This window comes from Homo sapiens, chromosome 6, assembly GCF_000001405.40.
Source record: "Homo sapiens chromosome 6, GRCh38.p14 Primary Assembly".
Lineage (NCBI taxonomy): Eukaryota > Metazoa > Chordata > Mammalia > Primates > Hominidae > Homo > Homo sapiens.
The window spans coordinates 55,574,748-55,600,510 of record NC_000006.12 but is presented as its reverse complement, the minus strand read 5'-3'; the positions used below and the strand labels follow the sequence as shown (position 1 = coordinate 55,600,510).

Here is a 25,763-nt window from a genome sequence, read left to right as displayed (position 1 = left end):
ATTATTTAATTAAATCTACTCAAAATCAAATGTAATTAAATTTACTTCAAAAGATAGTCATGAGAAATATCTGAATAATTTTACACATCAAATCAGAGCTTATTTTCCTGTTGGTAAGTGATGTTGCCTGCTTTAAAAATAGCTCTCACACCTAAATTGATATATTTTTCAAAATTCTTTCTTTACCACATTCAAGAAGTTAGTTTAAGCAAAGGAGTACTTCAATAACACTGTTTACTCTTCTTTTAATTTGCATAATTATTTTGCTAAAGAGTTTATCTAGACTTCACTTAATGGATTTAAAATGTCAACAATAATTTTGGAGGCCTTTTTTTCAGAAGTGAAATATGATTTTAGAGATTTAAAAAAACTGAAGATTCTCTCAACTACATTTGTTAAAGAGAGTCATCAGGGTTTGAATGTGAGAGAATTAAAAAATACCGCCAATGTAAATCATTCAGTTTAAACAGAAGAAACACTGAAGTAAGAGAATAATTTTATAACAATTACTTTAATTTCAACATAAAAATATCTAATGATAATTGAGAGCTTAATGAGAATATGGACAAGATAGCCAACACCTTTCACAGAATCATTCATGCTTAGCTTCGGCTTTGAAGAAACACTGTCTTTACCTTTAAGCAAACATTCACCAAATGTATACTTGCATCACTTTTATACAGTGGCAGTACATTTGTTTTCACTAAGTGTTTCTGCAAAATTTTCTATTGTTTCTTAAGTTTCATCTTATAAGCAAGAATTTTTCACAAGAAAAATTGTGTATGAACCAAGGGAAAATTGTTTTCTGTATTGTGATTACTTGCATCCATGGTTATGCTGTAAAAAGGCAAGGCATTTATATTTTTTATAATCTCTGTGATAGTAATTGGAGTTAGTACTTATTTTTCTTTAATTGCGGTAGATTTCATCTGGGCACTTGAAAATGTTCTTGCAGTTTGGGAATCAGAAAATTCTTTCAGTAGTAGTTCATTTAGCCATTTGGGCTGAAAGACTGTTGAAAATATCCAATATGGAAGGATAATCTTCTTCCAACTTCTTCCAACTTATCTTCTTTATCTGAATTTATCTTCATAAAAAATATTATTTATCACTTTGGTACTAGTTGCAGATATAGCTGGAAAATGCTGGCTTATATCTAAGTTTCCATTATTTTCAACATTGAATTAACAAATGCATACTACTCAATGAGCTTCAAGAGTTCTTTTTCTTTTCTTTCTTTCTTTTTTAATTATACTTTAAGTTCTGGGATACATGTGCAGAACGTGCAGGTTTGTTACATAGGTATACACATGCCATGGTGGTTTGCTGCACCCATCAACCCGTCATCTACACTAGGTGTTTCTCCTAATGCTATCCCTTCCCTAGCCCCGCAACCCCCGACAGGCCCTGGTGTGTGATGTTTCCCTCCCTGTGTCCATGTGTTCTCATTGTTCAGCTCCCACTTATGAGTGAGAACATACGGTGTTTGGTTTTCTGTTCCTGTGTTAGTTTGCTGAGAATGATGGTTTCTAGCTTCATCCATGTCCCTGAAAAGAACATGAACTCATCCTTTTTTATGGCTGCATTTTAATAAATGTTATTGTTCAGATAATTTATCATAAAATTTACTCTTGCATTTTGGGTACAAATATGCACACATAAAAGTAAATAATAGTAATCATTACATGAATTGGAAAGAGTTCATTTGTTAGTTTTACAGCCACAACAGTGTGTCTATTACTCATGAATGCAAACTCATTACCAACTGTAATCAGCGATTGAACCATTAAACGTTTGCAAGCTTGAAAACTAACAATAAATGAACTTGATATCTCATGCAAAAAATAATTAACTTCCTGTTTGCCTCAACAGAGAACGGTACTTGTGAGGTATGACTACAAAGCCAGAACTGATCTTCTATAAGGTTCTGAAAAGCTTGCTATTTGGAGACTGGTGGACTTTCAGAAATGGGCATGGTTTCAATGCTTTCAGCTATGTTAGCGTGGTAACAGGAGGAAGGCTGCTATTGACTGGTTGAGTTTCAGAAACATGGTCATTGGAGTACAACGCAGTCTGTGTGTTGTCTAGAATTGCAATTGAGCTCATTTGTGGAGTATTGGTTTCAACTACTGTTGGCATTTAAGTGATTTAAACACCATTTACTGTGGCAGAAACATTGCTCTCTAATTTTTTTTGTAATTTTTTTCAACACAAGCTAAATAAAGGATATTTAGGGTATCTCGTCAAAGTAAGAACAGGACACAGGATAAAAATCATTAAATACAGGACATGTTCTGTATATACAAGACATTTGGCAACAGTCATGGCAATAGATAACTGATAGATTCTTTTACAGCACAAATTTATTCTATTATTATTATTTGACCGTGTATTTGAACACATCCACTGATGAGGACCTTATATGACTTGAGCTATGATTAGTTGATCATGATCTTATTGTGGAAAACCTAGTCTTCATTACAGTGAGCCTTGATTTTCACTCACTAGTCCAAATTTTAATCTTTTAGCCACGCAGACCAGTCTAATCCTTCTACAATGAATTTCCCCAAATATTTATTTTTATATATCATGTTCATTTATGAGTTTGTCTTATTAAAGTGAAATATACAGATCTCAACTCTATTTCTTTGTCTTACCAAGCTAATAAGTCTATCAAAAAAATGAATTCAGTTTAAAGTGATTTACTTTTGTAAAGTTGTGCTGGCCATAATAATATTTCCATTTTCCATTTTTACAAACTGTCTCATTTATAATTTCAACTAGCATATTACTTGGAACTTTAAGCCCTTAGCTTTGAAAATAATTACTTTATTTTACCATTGTTGTTGGTAGTTCCTTTCTACCATCCCTCAAATATAATGAAAAAAGCGGAGAAATTCAAATTTTTGGATTTCCGTAGAATCCATACATGTAATTTTCTTGGTCATGAGCACCAAGCTCTTACAACCTCTTTTTTTTCCTTCTTTTTTTTTTTAACATCTTAATATGTTTTGTACTTCAATTCCCTCTTATCAACTTCTGTATCCTTTTTAAACACAGATATGAAAATCTGGGATTAATTCTTAGAACTGTCTTGTTATGCAAGAAGCTATGTTGTCATTGATAGAAAACGTCTATAAATCACATCTAACCCTTTTTCTTTCAATATGCTTTAGCACTCTTATGATGAAAAGAGAATTCTCATAGAGGCATTCCATTTATAATCTTTTTAAAAGTATATATGAATCTAAGTTTTTTCAGAATTTTTAAATTGAAATATTATTAAGTTTATTGACATGATGTTTGTAATGGAAGCCAAAAATCACAATATTTTCACTTCCATACGTTAAGTTCTAAGGAAGATCTTACATTATTTATCCTGGAACATGCTGCAACTCAACCTTGAAATAAAATTCAAACAAAATGTGGAAAAGCGAATGATACACATATTTGGTTGCTGATCACAAAAATCATTGGGTTTTGTGCATTATATTTTACTTTTTATATATAACGTGTTATTTTAATATATTTTTCATTTACATGGTAGTATTTAAACTTTTTTATGTTGATAAATTAACAACTGGTTTTAGTTACAGGCTATATATATTTTAGCATCCTTCATTGATTTTCAATGTCTACATAGTAAATAGAATAGTCACAGCAGTTTTAAATGTAAAATGCTAACTTGGCAAATGATTGTTAAATGAAAAATTGAACTTCCAGGGATACAAACTTCATGAACTAATTGCTGATAACAAATTTGAGACAAAAAGTTTGTTTTAAGTATATACGTAATTTATACTTAATGCATGAAGAAATATAGTTGAGATTTTAAACTGCTAATCTATGATGTCCTGAAACTTTTACTATGTTTTTATTATCTAACCACTTCCATATCTTAGGAGTTTAGGCGTAGCTCAACTGAGTCCTCTCCTCAGGATCTTACAAAGCTGCAATTAAAATTCAGAATATTATGAAACCTCATAATTAAATCTTTTACATCATGTAATATTCATTATTAAGCTTGTTGCATTAGAGATAAACATTAAAACCATCTGTCTGCAGGCTTTGTTTTCTACAATTGCAATTTGTCTAAGTTTCAACACCTGAAGCCTTTGGTGCTAATTGTATATATGTACTAAAGATTTTCAATTCCTATTTACTTATTTATTTGTTTATTTTTGAGACAGGGTTTCACTGCTGTCACCCAGGCTGGAGTGCAGTGGTGTGATGTCAGCTTTCTGTAACCTCCACCTCCCGGGCTCAAGCGATTTTCCTGCCTCAGCCTCCCGAGTAGCTGCTACTACAGGTGCACACCGCCACATCCGGCTAATTTTTGTACTTTTTTGGTAGAGATGGGGTTTCACCATGTTGGTCAGGCTGCTCTCAAACTCCTGGCCTCAAGTGATCCACCCCTCTTGGCCTCCCAAAGAGCTGGGATTACAGTCATGAGCCATCGAGCCCAACTTTCCAATTCCTTTTTTAATAAAACGCCATCACAATGTAGATACATCTTTTACAAAACATTTGATACCATGTTGAAGATTGACAATTATTTACAAAGTATTTCATTCACAAAGGCTCCAAAATTTCTAAAATCAGATCAAAGATGACCACTGAAGAGTAAATGTTATGTTATCATGCTGCAGCGTTTAACGTCAGTTTGGTTCAAAAAATTGTGGGTCAATGATATATTTCCTAGTATATAAAATTTTACATCTTTATCTTCAATTTTTATTAACAGAGTATTTCCCCCAGTTTGGCCAGATTCATGAATTATTTGTGTTTCCCAACCAATTCCAAGTACATTTTTTCTTCATAGGTTCTTAGTAAGAACACTGCTTTTACTACACTGCTGTGCTCCATCAAAAATTTTGTGTTACTACACAAAGAATTTTATCTCTCATATTGGACTTTTAACTGAATTTACAGTAGCATTCACAATAAAGTCAGATTTTTTACATTAGTAGAATAAAATTTCTATAGCTTCACCTTGATTCCATAAATCCTGTGAAGAACAAAGTTAAGACTTTATTGTCATTAGCTGAACTGCTTTTCTATTTGAAACTTCTGTAGGTAATGTAATAAATATATGTCACCTTTTACAGAGTTCTTCTTGGAGTGGACATATTAACAGTCCTCTCCTCACTATTTACATATGAGAACAAAAACTCTTGAAATGTAATTTGACAGCGTTTATTTAGAATAGTCATTTATCTAAATGAAAATTCAGGCTTTATAGATAGATATATTTCATCTCTCTACTTATATTTGTTCGGATGTTGTCTCTGTACATAGTCTTCATAAAATGATTGTGATTCAGTAGTAGATTTGTGTCGTGTGATTTTCACGTGGTCAGTACAACCTTCATGGTAGTTGGTAAATACTTAAAAATTCATTTTCAATTTTCTCGAGAAATGGAAATTGAGAACTTATTTTTGAAATGTATGTTTCTATTTTTCCAAGAAATTGTCATTGAAATATTGTACGGAAAAATAAAAAGCATTAACAGAAATTAAAAGCCAAAAAACAGTTGTAGATTTATACTGCACAATATATTTTTTTAAAGAAACACAATATCCAGAGTGTTTACTACTCTGTATACTTGGTAGCAGGACTGCTCAGCCTCCATCTCCCCATGTAATTCATGTATATCTGAGCTATAATTTTAAGTATTTCCCTCTGACTAAGAGGATTCGTGTCCTGACACCTTCAAGCATCTCATCACACTAGGCACAGGTCATGGGACAACTTGCTGTTAAACCAAGGGACCATCAGGGCAACAGGACAGACTTCTCCCACCACCACTACCCAATACCAGAGGGAGTTAGCTGTCCCTAGCTGCTTATCTCAAGCACATCTTATCAGCTAGCACCCTGCGTGCTCTACTTGAAAGGGGAATAGTAGATATGTTGCATCTGGAAATGATCAAGTAAAGAAAGAGGTTTGTTGTTGGTTTTCCTGCACATTTAACCATGTGTTAAAGTGAGAACTCTATTCTCAGAACAAATGTTTCACACACTCAAGAAGAGATTGTGGCAGAAGCTGGAAGTACAATGTGAAGGTTGACTTAACTCACCTTGGCTCATTTTAATGCAATTACTAAGCAAAATTCTTGGTTAAAAATGATAAATTCAGGAAATTCTGAACAGTAGAGGACACCAAGACCGTGTAAACTAGACCTGAACCAGGAAAACTGGGACATGTGTTCTCAATGACCTAGATAATGTGATGACATGGGGAAACCCAGACATTTGAACTAGTGAGAAGGAAAGAAGAAAAATAAATCAACTGTTTAAGGAATAATTCAGAATCATTAGATTCAAATTTTTTTATAATTATGAATTCACTTCTTTATAAGATAAAATTCTTACTCTCTGCTGCCAAGAATTTCATAGGTTGTACAATTTTGAGACCGAATATATTTTTTCTCCTGTGTCAATATAAGACACATATTCTAATTTGATCCATCTAATAAAATGATGAATAATATATTTGGTGATAATTTCTCTTCTTTAGGAGGGAAGTATATATAAGTAATAACCAGCACAGCTTTGGTCCCAAACCGTTTAGGTTTATAAGCCAGCTAAATCACTTATTAGCTATTGTGACTTTAGTCAAGTAATTTACCTCTCCGTGGTTCTGATTTTTCACTTCCAAAATCGGGATATTAAAAATACCAACCTAAGTGATTATTATGAGGAGTAAATGGACTAATATATGAGAAACTGTTAGGACAGTGCCTGACACATGGAAATGTAAGTTAGGTATAGGTTGTTATTATTATTTCAATCAACTGTCTAAGGAACTGGAAAGATAATATATACCATGTATTTCAAGTTATATGAATTAGTTGTGTTTGATTAGATATAAAACTTGGTTATTACACTATATTCCTTTAAAAATTAAAACAACGTTTAAAACAAGCTAATTCACATTTCCTGAAGACAAAGTACTTACAAAGATGAAAGCCTTATAAATTATGCTGTGTGATAATTTTTGTTATCCCATGGCATGATTTACATAAGTGATAGGAGAAATATCACTTCTCCCACACGCAGTTCAGATGGAGAGGTAGAAAAATAAATTTAATTTTGCTGGCTGTTATTTGTAAAAGGTTAAAAGGAAATGATGTTTGAATGCTGAGAAATATAGGATAAATCCTAAAAAACTAATTTTAATTGTTTTCTTCTCAACTACTGACACTAAAAAATAAACATTTTCTAATATTTGAATGATTGTTATGAATAAAGCATGTAAGCAGCTTTATGATATTCATGGGTCTCATACTCATGAATATGGTTCTGTCAGGATGTGATCCCAGGAATCTGACTCCTTGACCTGGTCTTTAAATATCTGCCTGGGGAATCTGAGCTTTGAAGGGCTCTCAACAGCTCAGTGAACAGGATGAGGGGAATAAGGAAACTTACTTATCTTGGGAGGTTTTGAATTTGTAGGAAGTCTCCTTTCCAAGGTTTGAATGTTTGAAATCATGGGAAAAAATTTAACCTTATATATGATGCATGCTTTTTATAGATTTCACTTTAGCTTAGTGTAATTTCAGCAAGACAGCTATAGCCCAACAATTTAAAAAGGGGGCTCTGATGTCCGACTTCTTGGGTTTGAATTCTGGCTCTCTTACTTACTAGCCATGTGTTGGTAGTAACTTAGTTGACTTCTCTGTGCTCAAATGGTCTCATCTGTAACATAGGAATCATAGGACCCTTCTCATGAATTAGTGTCCACTTAAATATTTAGAACTGCACTTGAAAAATGCTCAGCAGACGTTAGTACTTGTTCTCATTACCATTATTTAAACCAGTGGTTCTCATTTAGGAATGATTTTGCCTTCCAGGGGGATATCTGGCAATGTCCAAATATATTTTTGCTTGTTACATCTCAGAGGCTACTGGCATCTAGTGAGTAAAAGCCAGGAATTCTGCTAAAATCCCCACCATGCACAGGACACCACCCACAACAAAGAATTATTAAGCCCAAAATGTCAATAGTGCTGAGGTTGAAAAACACCATTTTAAGCTATTCTATTGTTGAAGATGAAGCATAAAGACCAACAAACATTTTCAAAATGTTGCACATAAACTTGACTAATTCTAACTTAGTAAATCCATATCTTCTAAACTTTTGTTAAGCAAACTATGAATTACTAAGAATCAGATATCTTCATGAACTTATAACTATGCAATAGGGAAAAGTTTCTGAGAGAATAGTATAAAAATTAGGGTAATAAATGGTAGTAAATAAATTAAAAGAGAGAAAGGTAAAATAAAAGACACTAGAGGAATGTCTTCCTAATAGGAACAGAAATTAAGTGGGAAGAGGAGAATCTGAGGAATATTGCTTTAGGCCTGTTGTCCCATCTCTCCCTGACCTCCTTCCCTCCCAGGTCTTTAGCACTGGCTTATAATTTTTGGGGTAATTTCAAGCTTTAAGTGAATGAGCAAAAAAGTTTTCCAAATGTAATTTGAAAGTTATAAAAATTAGTATTTTATTATAAAATAACTATAGATTACTGCCTTGAAAAGTAATGATTCCACATTGGTGTATTTCCATGTGTAAATTTAGTGGAGATTTGAGATTTGTGAAATATAGGTCATTGAATAATACCAGTTAATAAAGCACTCCTATAACTTTCTGCCCTTAAAATATTCAACTAAAATGTTCTTGGAATGATGGCATTCTAGTAAGAAAAGGATTCCATTATTCAATCATTTTAATGAATTCTTTAGAGAATTGTACTTCCATGGGAACTCTGGGAAACTTTTGGCAAGAAAATTATGTTTTCCCTAATGGAAAAAAAAAAAAAAACTTCCTTAAGTGGTAGAGTAAAACTTCATTAGTTTGGGAAAACAAAACAAAACCACATGATATGTGGGAAAATGTATTAACGAGTATGCCAGGCCACCAAGGGGAAAAAAAGGGAAAGGAAAAAAAAAGTGAACAGGAACTCAAAAATCTTAATTCCTATCCAATACATAGATGTTTTTATAAATGTGTAGCAATAAAAATATCATGGCTTGCATGATTTACGAAAAGAGAAGTCCCACCCCCACCAGGCATGATTATCAAGATGAAGTGCCCCTCTGCAAGTTTGCTTCGAAGACCTAGAACTAAAGTTTAAACCCTAGAAGAAGGCAGAACACACATCACTGCTGAAGATATTAAGAGTTTTTTAACTTTATGATGTTCTCCTGGATAGTACTTATGATGTTATCAGGACTGAAAACATTCTTGGGCTTCATATTTAGGACAAGATTGAGTCCTTCACATAGTGTGTGAATCTCTAGAATGAAGAGTCAGAAGACTGAATTCAAATTCTAGCTCTAAAGAAGCTCTCTTGGAAAAAATTTAACATCTCTGAGCAAGGGTTTCTTTCGCTAAAATATATTAGAAGCAGGAAATACCATGTACATAAAAAGTGTCTTTTTATTATTTATTCTTGAAAATCATGAGATGAAAAAGAAAGAGCAAAGGCTTTGACAGACACAATTTTGAATCCACTTTTTACACTTCCTTGTTACTTCCGAATAGTTTTTCAAGTTCTCTGACTCTCAGTTTCTTCATATGTTAAATTCATACACATAGTTAAAATATCCAGTGAAGTGCTTCATAGGTTTAGGCACTTAATGAATACTATCTTTCCTCCTCTGCCCTTGGAGAACTGGCATGACACACTTTAAGACATCTAAAGCTGAATTTCAAAATAAATACTTTAAAATTAGTGTCTTTAGTATATATGTTAAAATTTATGTGCTTATATTTATCTGTGGAAAAATAAAAAAGATCATTTTACATATAGTATCCACAGTTTAATAAGCATGAGATAAAAATCTCATGAAATCAGAAAATTTTATGAAGATTTTTTATTAAAAACTGATTTCCTGTTCACTCTGATTGTAGTTTCCTTTGCTGTGCAGAGGCTCTTTAGTTTAATTAGATCCCATTTGTCAATTTTGGCTTTTGTTGCCATTGCTTTTAGTGTTTTAGACATGAAGACCTTGCCCATGCCTATGTCCTGAATGGTATTGCCTAGGTTTTCTTCTAGGGCTTTTATGGTTTTAGGTCTAACATTTAAATCTTTAATCCATCTTGAATTAATTTTCATATAAGGTGTGAGGAAGGGATCCTGTATCAGCTTTCTACATACGGCTAGCCAGATTTCCCAGCACCATTAATTAAATAGGGAATCCTTTCCCCATTTTTTTTTTATTAGGTTTGTCAAAGATCAGATAGTTGTAGATGTGTGGCATTATTTCTGAGGGCTCTGTTCTGTTCCATTGGTCTATATCTCTGTTTTAGTAACAGTACCATGCTGTTTTGGTTACTGTAGCCTTGTAGTATAGTTTGAAGTCAGGGAGCATGATGCCTCCAGCTTTGTTCTTTTGGCCTAGGATTGACTTGGCAATGCGGGTTCTTTTTTGGTTCCATATGAACTTTAAAGTAGTTTTTTTCAATTCTGTGAAGAAAGTCATTGGTAGCTTGATGGGGATGGCATTGAATCTATAAATTACCTTGGGCAGTATGGCCATTTTCACGATATTGATTCTTCCTACCCATGAGCATGGAATGTTCTTCCATTTGTTTATATCCTCTTTTATTTCGTTGAGCAGTGGTTTATAGTTCTCCTTGAAGAGGTCCTTCACCTCCCTTGTAAGCTGGATTCCTAGGTATTTTATTCCCTTTGAAGCAATTGTGAATGGGAGTTCACTCATGATTTGGCTCTCTGTTTGTCTGCTATTGGTGTATAAGAATGCTTGTGATTTTTGCACATTGATTTTGTATCCTGAGACTTTGCTGAAGTTGCTAATCAGCTTAAGGAGATTTTTGGCTGAGACAATGGGGTTTTCTAGATATACAATCATGTGATCTGCAAACAGGGACAACTTGACTTCCTCTTTTCCTAATTGAATACCCTTTATTTCCTTCCCCTGCCTAATTGCCCTGGCCAGAACTTCTAACACTATGTTGAATAGGAGTGGTGAGAGAGGGCATCCCTGTCTTGTGCCAGTTTTCAAAGGGAATGCTTCCAGTTTTTCCCATTCAGTATGATACTGGCTGTGGGTTTGTCATAAATAGCTCTTATTATTTTGAGATACATCCCATCAATACCTAATTTATTGAGAGTTTTTAGCATGAAGCGTTGTTGAATTTTGTCAAAGGCCTTTTCTGCATCTATTGAGATAATCGTGGTTTTTGTCTTTGGTTCTGTTTATATGCTGGATTACGTTTGTTGATTTGTGTATGTTGAACCAGCCTTGCATCCCAGGGATGAAGCCCACTTGATCATGGTGGATAAGTTTTTGATGTGTTGCTGGATTCGGTTTGCCAGTATTTCATTGAGGATTTTTGCATTGATGTTCATCAGGGATATTTGTCTAAAATTCTCTTTTTTCATTGTGTCTCTGCCAGGCTTTGGTATCAGGATGATGCTGGCCTCATAAAATGAGTTAGGGAGGATTCCCTCTTTTTCTATTGATTGGAATAGTTTCAGAAGGAATGGTACAGCTCATCCTTGTACCTGTGGTAGAATTCGGCTGTGAATCCATCTGGTCCTGGACTTTTTTTGGTTGGTAAGCTATTAATTATTGTCTCAATTTGAGAGCCTGTTATTGGTCTATTCAGAGATTCAACTTCTTCCTGGTTTAGTTTTGGGAGGGTGTATGTGTTGAAGAATTTATCCATTTCTTCTAGATTTTCTAGTTTATTTGCATAGAGGTGTTTATAATATTCTCTGATGGTAGTTTGTATCTCTGTGGGATCAGTGGTGATATCCCTTTTATCATTTTTTATTGAGTCTATTTGATTCTTCTCTCTTTTCTTCTTTATTAGTCTTGCTAGCGGTCTATCAATTTTGTTGATCTTTTCAAAAAACCAGCTCCTGGATTCATTGATTTTTTTAAAGGGTTTTTTGTGTCTCTAACTCCTTCAGTTCTGCTCTTATCTTTGTTATTTCTTGCCTTCTGCTAGCTTTTGAATGTGTTTGCTCTTGCTTCTCTAGTTCTCTTAATTGTGATGTTAGGGTGTCAATTTTAGATCTTTCCTGCTTTCTCTTGTGGGCATTTAGTGCTGTAAGTTTCCCTCTATACACTGTTTTAAATGTGTCCCAGAGATTCTGGTATGTTGTGTCTTTTTTCTCGATGGTTTCAAAGAACATCTTTATTTCTGCCTTCATTTCGTTATGTACCCAGTAGTCATTGAGGAGCACGTTGTTCAGTTTCCATGTATTTGAGTGGTTTTGAGTGAGTTTCTTCATCCTGAGTTCTGGTTTGATTGCACTGCGGTCTGAGAGACAGTTTGTTATAATTTCTGTTCTTTTACATTTGCTGAGGAGAGCTTTACTTCCAACTATGTGGTCAATTTTGGAATAGGTGTGGTGTGGTGCTGAGAAGAATGTATATTCTGTTGATTTGGGGTGGAGAGTTCTGGAGATGTCTATTAGGTCCACTTGATGCAGAGCTGAGTTCAATTCCTGGATATCCTTGTTAACTTTCTGTCTCGTTGATTTGTCTAATGTTGACAGTGCGGTGTTAAAGTCTCCCATTATTATTGTGTGGGAGTCTACGTCTCTTTGTAGGTCTCTAATGACTTGCTTTATGAATCTGGGTGCTCCTGTATTGGGTGCATATATATTTAGGATAGTTAGCTCTTCTTGTTGAATTGATCCCTTTACCATTATGTGATGGCCTTCTTTGTCTCTTTTGATCTTTGTTGGTTTAAATTCTGTTTAGTCAGAGACTAGGATTGCAACCCCTGCCTTTTTTTGTTTTCCATTTGCTTGATAGATCTTCCTCCGTCCCTTTATTTTGAGCCTATGTGTGTCTCTGCACGTGAGATGGGTTTCCTGAATACAGCACACTGATGGGTCTTGACTCTTTTTCCTATTTGCCAGTCTGTGTCTTTTAATTGGAGCATTTAGTCCATTTACATTTAAGGTTAATATTGTTATGTGTGAATTTGATCTTGTCATTATGATGTAAGCTGGTTATTTTGCTCCTTAGTTGATGCGGTTTCTTCCTAGCCTCGATGATCTTTACAATTTGGCATATTTTCCGGTTGTTCGTTTCCATGTTTAGTGCTTCCTTCAGGAGCTGTTGTAAGGCAGGCCTGGTGGTGACAAAATCTCTCAACATTTGCTTGTCTGTACAGGCGACCTACAGAATGGGAGAAAATTTTTGCAATCTATTCATCTGACAAAAGGCTAATATCCAGAATCTACAAAGAACTCAAACAAATTTACAAGAAAAAAACAAACAACCCCATCAACAAGTGGGAGAAGGATATGAACAGACACTTTTCAAAAGAAGACATTTATGCAGCCAAAAGACACATGAAAAAATGCTCATCATGACTGGCCATCAGAGAAATGCAAATCGAAACCACATTGAGATACCATCTCACACCAGTTAGAATGGCGATCCTTAAAGTCAGGAAACAACAGATGCTGGAGAGGATGTGGAGAAATAGGAACACTTTTACACTGTTGGTGGGACTGTAAACTAGTTCAATGATTGTGGAAGTCAGTGTGGCGATTCCTCAGGGATCTAGAACTAGAAATACCGTTTGACCCAGCCATGCCAGTACTGAGTATATACCCAAAGGATTATAAATCATGCTGCTATAAAGACACATGCACACATATGTTTATTGCAGCACTATTCATAATAGCAAAGACTTGGAACCAACCCAAATGTCCAACGATAGACTGGATTAAGAACATGTGGCACATATACACCACCATAGAATACTATGCAGCCATAAAAAATGATGAGTTCATGTCCTTTATAGGGACATGGATGAAACTGGAAACCATCATTCTCCAGCAAACTATCGCAAGGACAAAAAACCAAACACCGTATGTTCTCACTCATAGGTGGGAATTGAACAAGGAGAACACATGGACACAGGAAGGGGAACATCACACACTGGGGCCTGTTGTAGGGTGGGGGGAGGAGGGAGGGATAGCATTAGGAGATATACCTAATGTAAATGATGAGTTATTGGGTGCAGCACACCGACATGGCACATATATACATATGTAACAAACCTGCTCATTGTGCACATGTACCTTAAAACTTAAAGTATAATAAAAAAAAAACTGATTTCCATGTTTTGTTAGTTTTTGGTAATAATGAGGCTGTTTTCAGTTGCTCTTACTCACACTTCCCCTGCACTGTCTCTTCATCATGATAGGCTCTGTCTACCCAATCCTCTCGAATGTGGTCTCTTTCCCTGAAGTGTTCTCTTATTATCATAGTTAAACGAGAAACCTACTGCCTTTACTTCTATGATTCTAAACTTATCTTCTCACTTGGCACTTATCAACATACTGGCCTATTTTAGTTAGTTAAGCAACATTATATTTCCCTATTAAATTAGAAGTTTCTTGTGTTGACTACCTTGTTTAGCATTACCCTCCACACAGTATTATATGGCCCCGTATTTATTAAGCATTAATTATTCAATTCACATTTGGTGGATATGCAAATTCTACTATAATGTTTTGTATATAGATCCTACAGCTTTAGAATTTAATTTCTTATACTCCTCTAATTAAAATAGATATGCTTTGCATTCTTTTATTTTAGTTATTTTTCTTAAGATGTTGCCACAGGAATGTGAGGTATTTAAAGCCAAGAAGGCATATCTTAATCTTAAATATATATTCATACTTATTTTTCCATTAGCTATTGAGTATTAAATTTTAAAAGTATCTGTAGTGGACTAAACAAATGTCCTAAATTTGGTTTTTACAGATTCCCACTAGCTGGAACAATGTTACTACGTCTTCTTAAAAATGGATGAATTTGATTCAATAAAGGCAAAAGAAAGCTGAGTTATTGAGCAGTTATTATGTGCAAAGAAAAATACTAAATGCTTTATAATTATAATTGATAGTGAATTGTGTTCTCATTCAATAGTACTTGATACAGTTTCAAAGAATGATATAATCTCTGGATAAGAGATAATACAGTTTACCTATTAAGATCTTATTATAACCCACCAAAATTTATCAACTAATTGATAAAATATTTTCTAAGTGAAGTTTGAGCTTGTAGTTAATGGAAACAAAGATATTTTTATATCTGTTGGCAAAAAATATGCGGATTTCAACCATCTAACAAAGTAAAACTAGTTAACGAACAGTCCATGTCTGTGTCTTTTATTTTGCAATACAGTTGGCAAAGCTAATGCTTTTGGATCCTTCTGAATTAGTGAGAGAATAAATAGACTCCTACATCTGGATAAATGTGGTTTATGGCTTTGTTCTGATTTCAGTATTTGCTGCCAGGTACTCATCACCTGGGGTGGGGTGTTATTTTGGTAAAATAGAACTCATTACTTATTCTCAAAAGAATGCTCTATTTCAGAACAATTCTATTGCTAATGGAACTTTGAATTTAGAACCAAATGCCAAGAATGTTTTTAAACACTCTGTTATCCTTCTGATCAATTTAGATCAGCCAGATATAACATATGTGAGAAGTTATCTAAAATTTTCAGCAATAAAACTGATATGATGAAAGCTTTTTTCCCCTTAGGTATCATCTAGTATTGTTAGCCAGGTTGTTCTCATTGTTTCTTTTTTATTGTTTAAGGCTGTACCACATCACTCTTGTAATGCTCACCAAAGTTCTATGGAATCATTGTTTGAGATTCACCATATGTGTCTTTTATCCCTGCCCAATAGGTATCTTGGCTACATGTCAGTTTGGCATTTGTTACTATAAGAACTTCAATTGGTTCACTTGCTTCTGATTCTATCCATGCTGTCAGCATAGAGACTTTCAAATAGCCATCTCTGGGACCAAAGAAACTCACAAGATAGCAACCTGTTTTAATTAGATCCTTCTCACCCAAGTACTTCCCACTCGAGACAATTGGTATAGTCAGTCTGCCTAGTTTGGCGTTGATTGATCTCTGAAACACAAATCCCTCCTCACTCTGTTTTTGAGACCCTTTGTCTAGAATATAGACAGTGCCAACAACCCTGTAATTTATTATATGGTAGTAATTTATTGCGGTCATTTTATACAGAGAAGAGATAGGGTGAAGAATGGGAGTAAGTGTAGAGCATGTGGCTTCTGTTCAGTTTTCTTTCTTGTGGATTAGTCAAGACATCAGAACCATATCATGAGATCCTCAGGCTCTGAGTTAAATCCAGTGTTCTTCATTCTGTTCAGCATCTCTTGTTCCCTGTCTTTATTTATAGAAGTGATAGGAACTCCAGAATACATTGAAAATTATGGAACAAATATAATACTCAGAGAAAATTTCAAGTAAGAATTCTGTTAAATATGGAGCTTATCGTGGAGATTATTTCCCCTCCCCTCAAACTACTGATATCAAGAACATTCTCAGAAGCTAAATATTGCCAAGAGGCTCACAAGAAGGCACAGGCCTTGCTAGTCAGGATCTGAGGTCTTAAGCACCAAATGGAAGAGTACATTTAAGCAAATGGCCATGTAAGTATGGTAGTTAACTGGGCCATGAACATGAACCATTGGTCTCAAAAGGCCATTCCATATATGAGAGATGAAAAAAAGGTCACCTGGTTCTGTGGTTGAGAAAGTAAATCTCCGTAAGAAGACTGAAAGCAAGTGTCATCATGCATGATTTTAAGTTCTATATTTATTATATCGTTATGAGACTCCAAGCTAAGATGTTAACAAAAACAAATCTCAGCACCACCAAATTAAATCCATTAGATATCCCAGTGAAGCAAAAGTAAAATCATCCTTTAGGAATATTTCAATAACCCATGAAAGATTCCTATAGAAAAATAAATGGCTTCCCAAAGGACTATAAATCATGCTGCTATAAAGACACATGAACACGTATGTTTATTGTGGCACTATTCACAATAGCAAAGACTTGGAACCAACCCAAATGTCCAACAATGATAGACTGGATTAAGAAAATGTGGCACATATACACCATGGAATACTATGCAGCCATAAAAAAGGATGAGTTCATGTCCTTTGTAGGGACATGGATGAAATTGGAAATCATCATTCTCAGTAAACTATCGCAAGGACAAAAAACCAAACACTGCATGTTCTCACTCATAGATGGGAATTGAACAATGAGAACACACGGACATAGGAAGGGGAACATCACACTCTGGGGACTGTTGTGGGGTGGGGGGAGAGGGGAGGGATAGCATTAGGAGATATACCTAATGCTAAATGACTAGTTAATGGGTGCAGCACACCAGCATGGCACATGTATACATATGTAACAAACCTGCACATTGTGCACATGTACCCTAAAACTTAAAGTATAATAATAATAAAAAAAAGAAAAATAAATGGCTTCATCAAAGATAAGTTTACATAAGCAAATTACCAAGCATGCAAATTTGGTTTGTATATGTATTTGCTTTGCACATACAAAGCAAAACTTTAAAAATATAAAGAGAAATTGACAGAAACAGAACTATAGTGGAGGATTTCCACCGTCATGCTGTTTTGGCAAATTAATTAATTATACATACAAAGATTCGTATGATCATTTTCTAGCTACCTACTTTTCTCTCAAAAAATAAATAACATGCTATACTTTAGAAACTTATTATAAGAAATGATTTTGATTATATGTGTGTATGTGTACATACATATATGTATACATATATACAGGTATCGTACAGCCAATAGCATCATGGTTTCAAATAATTTAAATAAAATAAAATGGGAAAAACAAAAAGTATATACAAGAAATATTAATTTTTTCTCTCTGAAATAAAATGTATTAAAATGTTTCTAGAATTAGAACACTAGGTGTCTTCATTGATATCTTTATGTATCTTCTGAATTTCTCAAAATTGCTGTAATAAGAAACATAATTAGAGTGATAGGACATGAAATAATCCTAAAACTTGGGGAAACATGTATAATTTGATATTGCTGAAGTTATGGATAAGTTTAGAAAATGGGTAGGAGTTGAGACTGCAAAGACTGCTAAGAGTCTCTTCATGAAATATTAATTGAACCATTTTTAAGAAATATGACTTACCCCCACCCCCAGAGGTTATGGGACACCTCTAAGAATTTTAAGTTCAGAAATGTTTATCAGATATATATTTTCAAAATCTCTCAGACTATACAGTATGAATTGTTGAGTGCAAAATCACCCAGGAAGCCAGACTACTGTATTAATAATAATAATAGCTAACATTTGCTGGCTGCCTACAACATGCCAGAGACCAAATGTTGAACACTTTATATATTCTGTCATTTAATTTTGGCAACAAGTAAGAACTGTTATTGTCACCCTTTTACACATGTGGATACAGATGCTAACAAAGTTGTCCAGGGTCACTCAGTCCCTGTTAGAACCTGGCTCCCATCATAGATAATCTAGAACCAACTCTTAGGCCCTTCCCCACTGCATTATGGTGTTGCTTGTCAAACAGATAGGAAGTGGAGCAGAGAGAAGTTCTTAGCAAAAGAAAAAGAGCAAGGGATGAGTCCAAGATATTTAACTCAAATCACTTGTTGACAGATTGGTGGGATTAAGGAGAGAAGGAAGTCAAGAATAATTCAGGAGAGACAGGTTGAATTGAATGCTTTTGTACATAGTAAAATCATTAATAAAGTCACTAGAGAAAACAGAAAATTTACTTTAATTTGAGGTGAATGTTCGTATCTTCTTCTGCTTGAGTGAGTAAAATGCAATGAAATAAAAATGGCTTAGTCATATGATGCAGCAAGCATAGTATAGAGTGCAGATGCAGGATATGGCACTTACTCACTTCGTAGTTTTTAACAACTGGTTTCTTTATTTTTCTAATGGAGCCCAAGCTTCTAACCTGTTATATTGCAAGAGAGAACTATAGAACCTTCCACAAACTTCTTTTTATTCTCATTTTATCTAGAGCTTTTTAGAACAGGGGTACATATTGAAAATGTTTTATTTGAGTAATCAGAACAGAAAGATGTACATTAATACTAAGTACAAAAACATATGCTTTTCAAATGTATAAATTTTAAGCATTCATAAATTAACACCAAACTTTACTTACCAGTAAAATCACATCTATTTTAACTCCTGTTTATTCATTAGATTAAACATTCTTAAGATATTTGGTCTTTAAGATTTTGGCATTTGTACAAATTTTGTTTAAAAATTTGAGATCATAGCATTTTCCATATGATATGAATTAAAATAAAAAACAAATACTTTTATATTTATAAGACTTTTCTGTAAAAAAACACGTATCACTATGGTCAACTAATTGGTATATGAAATTTTCTTCAGACCCTTTTAATTTAGAAAACGATTAAGCAATAATTTTTTTTTCCCTAAATGTTCTTGTTCTTAGTAGCAGAAGATCATATCATATCTGACTTATCTTAGAGGTCTTATTCTCCAAAAGTTTAGACTTCAATTTTAATTGCCAATCCTTTTTGAGGTTTAGAATGATTGTTGACTCCATTATGAAGGTTGCCTTGTTAAATTATTGTTGTTGAAGTTGGATCTTTTAAAATTATTTTTAAATATCATGTTCCCTGTTGCAGAATTTAAATATAGAGAGAAAAATGATAGTAAGCATAGATATAACCAGTACCGTCCATTTCACTTGCAGTGGAACAATAACTAACAGCTGAGCTCTGCTGGTACAGCTAATAGATTTAGCTCTATGAATGTACACCTATATGATAGTCATGCTTAGGTAAATAACAACCGGAGTTTTGGTGCTTTACAGAGTTTTAAGCGCATCCAGGAATTGGATAACTTCACTTTAGCAGTTCAGGGAATGTTCTCCAGGTTAAACATCCGGCTGGGCGCGGTGGCTGACCCCTGTAATCCCAGCACTTTGGGAGGCCGAGGAGGTCAGACCACGAGGTCAGGAGATCGAGACCATCCTGGCTAACGCGGTGAAACCCCGTCTCTACTAAAAATACAAAAAATTAGCCTGGCGTGGCGGCCGGCGCCTGTAGTCCCAGCAGCTGGGGAGGCCGAGGCAGGAGAATGGCGTGAACCTGGGGGGAGAAGCTTTCAGTGAGCCGACATCGCGCCACTGCACTCCAGCCTGGGCGACAGAGCGAGACTCCGTCTCAAAAAAAAAAAAAAAAAAAAAAAAAAAGAAAGAAAAAAGAAAAAAAAAATCCTTGGTTAACTGTGAGAAGAAGACTATGACCTCCTCATCCTCTTTGCCCTTTCTAGTGCAGTTTTACCGAAGGATCTACACGATTTCTCTTCCACTCTTTGTCTTTTTCCTCCCTTAACCCATTTATTTTTATTACCTGTGGAAGTCTCACTGCCCACCCCCCAAACCCCCACCCATGCAACACACAAGTGGTAAGGATGGTTTGACTTTGAATGGTAAATTTCTTCTGTGTGTTTATACTACGGTGTGCATCGGTTGGCTCCTGGTTTACATTTGCTCCATCAGCCACCAGGGCTGATGCGTATTCCTGGCCATGGACACCCTGGCTGGGTCTCCGGAAGACCCTAGGTATCCTGCACGAGACTATTCTTGATGACTATGTCATTTTAGCTGCAAACCACTGAACCCACTGCGAAGATTATTAGGGTGTGACAATACACGTAAGTTTACATGTGAAAGTGAGGGGGGGAAGGTAGGCCGGTGGTCTGCTCGAAGGCTATTTTTTCAAACCCTCTCTTCCACTAAAAATGTCTCCAATTCTAATATCCTAAGAACTTGTATAGAATTTTCCGTTTGGATAAATCTAGTCCTTAGGGCTTTAATAATTTTGTGCCATGAGACTTTTAAACACGCAGTTCCATTTCAGCGCTTAACCGCAGCACCAACTTACAGCTTACCTCTCATTTAGGAACGTACCTCTGAGAGTACCTCTGACATGTAACCTAATTTAAGACTATCTTTTCCTTTTCATTAGACTGTTGGATATGTTTTAACCTTGCTGATTGCCTCAAAAACATTTTTAAATAGAGCTTATTGTTATAAAGCATAAACTCCGTGAGCTCAACGGTAGGCAAATCTACACTTGAGCACCCAAGGCTGCAGCTGGGAATGAACGAACTCATCAACATAAACACTCACGCCCCTTCCTTTTATTTTAGACCCCTTTTCTTCTACACCTGATCTATGCCAGGTGAGAAGTAGGTGGGCACGTTAAGATACAGTCAGCCCTGGGCGCTCAGTGTAGTGCGGAAAATGAGACACCCCTGGACATCCTCTGGCTCAGCTCCTTTCTCTCCTGTTCAGGTGCTCGGCATTTCTGTCGATTCCCGCAGGTGCCCCGTGCACCCGCTGCCCCAGGCGCGGCCACCTGCCACGCCCCACTCCCCGCCCTCTCGGCGCCGCCGCAGTGCGCAGAACAGCTCTGGTCCTCACAGCCAGTGCACCGGAGGGGCGCGCTCCCGAGCTGGCGCAGTTTCCCAGCGCGGTGCCCGCCCCTCATCCTCCTCCAGTCTCCCTCCCCTCGCCGACTGCCGCCCCAGGCTCCGCCATGGGGAATGTGCCATCCGCGGTGAAGCACTGCCTCAGCTACCAGCAGCTTCTCCGGGAGCATCTCTGGATCGGGGATTCAGTGGCAGGGGCGCTCGACCCCGCGCAGGTACCACCTCGCGGCCCAGGGTGTCCCCACCCTCATGCGCACACTGACAGCCAGCCTCTCTCCCTGCAACCTCTTGGTGCCCTCCTCCCTTTATGTCACCTCCTCACCCCAGGACCCTTCCCGCAGCAGTTCTGTCGTGTTAGGCCGCACCCCTTAAACGGTTTCCCGTTATCTCTCTTCGGTGAATGTATCGACCCGCCTCTACAGATCAGACCCTGCAAAATCCCTGCCTGTGACCATTTGCTGGTCGCCTAAAGAAAAGAATTCCTTCTCTGTGTTTTCCTGGAAAGGGATGCATTACGTAATACAATTTGTATTCATAGGTATTCCTTCAAGGATACCGCCCTTATTCTCAGTGCTCCTTGTACTGTGTAACAAAGACTACAAATTTGTCACAATGTGAGGCAGAAAAAGGAATGAAACCGGTAGAAGGTTAAGAAGACATAGTAGGATGAAATAATCCATCAGAACATTAATTATCCCAAATGTATTTGTGCTTCAACAAACTTGAAAGAAAGTGTAAATAACAGCAATTTCAGACTAAAATTTATTCCCACATTGTTCCTGAAAGGGCATGTTAAGACAATAGGCAACTTAATATTATTCATATACTTATGATTTAATGCACTCTTAACCAGTGTCAGATAAATAAAGAAAAGGTGTATAAAGAAATTAACTTTTTCCTTAAAAAACTTGAAAATCTAAAATTCCACAAAATATTAAATAACTGATAATTGTTATGAAAATGTTGAAACATGGAATAAAGGAGGAGCACTGTGAGGACTTCTTGTTAAATTACAGGTGCTGGATACAAGATTATTTCTGATTCGACTAGTGAACAAAATAACTTCTGTTATTGTAATATTTTAGTCATTAAGCATAATTGTACCATGTGGATTTAAATCAACTATTCTAATATAAAATATTCATTTTCTATTGTGTATTCTCAGTTTAGTGTATCATATGTGAAATTGCAATCTTATCTTTACAAATTGGAATTCAGCATTTGTGTTCTTTAGAAGATATTTTGTTTCTCGTTACTTAAAAGATGGCCATGGTCATCTAACTCAAAACCTGTTGATGACAGTGGTAGAGGTGAAAAGTTATCCTTTATCTTCCCACATGTTAATATGTCTATTTAATTTTCCTACCTTCTATTTTGACCTTCCTGATGTAACTTTTATCTTAATGTTCTTGACTTTTTAAATTCAGTCTGTTATTTAATCAGGAACCATTAACTTATATTTCCTAAGTCTGAGAGTTTATATGATTTTTCTTTTTGAGTGAATATTATATTTCTCTCTCCCTCTTTATTTTCTGATTTACACATTTTGTGGGTTTTATGGACAATGATAGAAGATTGGTTGCAGGTAAGGATGTCTTATTTGCCCTGCTAAGATATGGAAGCAGGTTAAATGAAAATGACTAGGATTCCCGAGAAATAAAATTCTGGGGCATTCATCAGCTTAATGAAGACTTTTTTGGCCCATTCTGAAGATATAATAGCCCTTCTCTAAATATTGCCTTTTTACCCACCAACTGCTTTGCCTAGAAAACTCTTATTTGTCTCTCAAGTACAGATTTTAAATTTTTTTTTTTTTTTAGTCCAGCCCTTTGCTCCCTCCAGAGTTATGCTTCTTTTTGTGTTCTCGGGAATTTTTAAAAATAATTCTGTTTTAGTTCCAATACTGTTGAATTGTGATTTTTTCTATCTTATCGTAATTGAACTCACAGCAGCACTAACATCTGACACTTGGCTTTTTGAACTTTATCTTCCTAGACTTCTCTTCTAACAAACCTTCACTGCTTTCAGCCCGATGTCTCTGGCTTCTCAGTCTCCTTGGCAGGCACGGTGGCTTGTATCCACTGGGTAAATATCCAGATGCCCCATCACTATCTACACTCTTCCTAGTGTGAGTTTGAGTGACAATCTACACTCACTGATTTGATTACTGTTTGTGTACCAGTGTTTTCTAGACTTACATTCCCCTATTTCTCTTGAATTCCAGTCCAGATGTTCAGCTGCTCATTTGACATCATCGCTTAGGTATCTCAAAAGCAACTCAAACTCAAACATTTTCAAAATTTTATTAATGTTCTACTTCTTCCAACACTGGACTTTCTGCAATATTTCCTATTGCAGGGAATGCCAGTATAATTTATTCAGTTCTATGAGCCATACACCAGAAACTATCTTCTTTCATTTCCCTCACACCCAAAGTATCACTGAGTCCTGCAATTTTACTTCTTGAATTTCTTTCAAATCTATTTTTCCAACTTCATTGCACCAATCAATTTTAAAATGGCATTATCTCTCATATGGATGACTGGGCTGTTGCAGTAGTCTTCTTACTTTCCAGGAATCCCTCTTCAACCCAATGCCTATATAGCTAATTGGAAAGTGTTCCCTATTTCAAATAAAATAATGCTATTTCTCTGTTTCAAAACCATCCGTGAATTTCCATTGCTTTTAAGAGTGGACACCAAAACTTTTAATGTGTTTTCTAAACTTCAAATGATCTTTTCATTGCATCTCTCAGCAACATCATCTTAAGCTATTCTTTTTTGTTCTTGCCACTTTAGCCACAGTGGCCTTTTTTGAGTTCTATAATAAATTGTGTTCCCTCTGGAACCACAGTGTTTGCTTACCTTCCTCTCTGCTAGGAAGATTGTTTTCAACAAATTAACTTCTAATTAATCTTCCGCCCTCAACTTGCATGTTACCCTCTCGTGAAATCTCTCCCAGACTCTCCATGCCAGCAGCTTTTGTTAGACTTCTATTGCATAGTAACCTATTGTAGATAATATGCATTATATATTTATTTTCATGATTACTTGATATTTAATTGCTTTGCAGATATTAAGCATAGTAAAACTAAGGAAGCAATTCACCACGGGATTCTCAACACTTATCAGAATGTCTGGTTAATTTTTTATGGCCAATAATACTTTTTGAATGAACAAATGAATTAATGTTTTCCCTTATAGGCCATAAGCATCACATGCCCATGAAGACCATGGACTTCTTCTTAGCATTTGTTCAAGGTCCAACAAAATGATTGGCACACTGTAGCATCATGATAAATATTTGCTAAGTGAATACAAAATCAGTGAGAATGGGGACATGGTATAGAGTTTGATCTTAGCACCAATCGATGAATATTATTACTGTTTTTCTCTCACCTTTTTGTCTCATAGGACCTCATAGTAGTTTAATGGAGAGATGAGGTAAAAATGGTTTCTGGAGGCTGTCAACACAGCAGAGAGCTTAACTAATTCTCTATTGTTGAATCTGGCAGAGAGAATCATGAATAAACCTGACTCCTGTAATATGAAATAATTTGATTGTAGTTAGAACAGATAGAAAATTCTGTATTTTGAAATAATTATGTGTGTGCAATAGAATATTGAAAACCTCGATATTTTTCTGTTACCAACTTATTCCATGGTTTTGTGTGTGCAAGAGCATGGCCACACCTTAATTTTTCAGCTTACATATTAGAGATAATATATCCCTGATGAATTATTAGACTTAAATTAAATATTGTGTGTATGAATATATACACATATACATATTAGAAGTTTAACAATGTACTATCAAATATAAAAAGAATAAATATGAATGAAAGGCTTATTCTATCACAGGTCCACTAATTAAATTATGTGGGTCTCTGTTTTTGCTAATGACAATGGTTTTGCAGAAAATTCCCTTAATAGACCAAGAGGTTGAAATTGCTCATTCTGTAATTCAAGCTATCTCTTAGGACCTGTTTTATTTTCTGTAGTTGTCTCTGTTAAAAAGAGTATAATGAAGCTGGCTTAATTGGCATGTTTTAAAGTTTTGATTAAATTTAAGTTTCCTAGTGAAGCGATCCCCCTTTGATTTTCAAGTGTTCCTTAAGCAATAACTAAATCTCTTCACATATTAATGCCCTTTTGCAAAAATAAAATTTCCAAAGACCTAAATTCTAATATAAATAATGTTTCAAACCTATTATATTTCTAAAATAAAGTAGTAGATTATGTGAGATTAAATTTATAGTTATTTTACATTCGATTCTGATCCTTTGTGTTACATTTGCTGTCAGCAAAAATTATGATTCAGCGTAAAGTTATTTGGTGCTAAAGGGTCTCTGGAATTTAAATGTATTATATTTCTGCTTAAATGTAATAAGATGATAATGTATCTTTATACTTTTG

The 25,763-nt window shown here is 35.3% G+C and overlaps 1 protein-coding gene across 9 annotated transcripts in view; it reads left to right on the top strand.

The window, feature by feature from the left end:
• Positions 1 to 25,763, top strand: part of HMGCLL1 (3-hydroxy-3-methylglutaryl-CoA lyase like 1) — a 244,547-nt gene that overhangs the window by 78,409 nt on the left and 140,375 nt on the right. For 6 of the 9 annotated variants that reach the window (NR_109869.2, NR_109867.2, NM_001287753.2 and 3 more), the window contains exon 1: positions 21,319 to 21,563. The exons of 2 other annotated variants lie outside the window; for them this stretch is intronic. Coding sequence is in view for 4 of the 7 variants with exons in the window: in NM_001287753.2 (NP_001274682.1) it covers positions 21,456 to 21,563 (108 nt within the window). In the remaining 3 variants the exon portion in view is untranslated. Of the gene's footprint in view, positions 1 to 21,318; positions 21,564 to 23,343; positions 23,434 to 25,763 lie in introns of those variants that run through there. One more of the 9 variants, NM_019036.3, reaches the window with a different exon arrangement.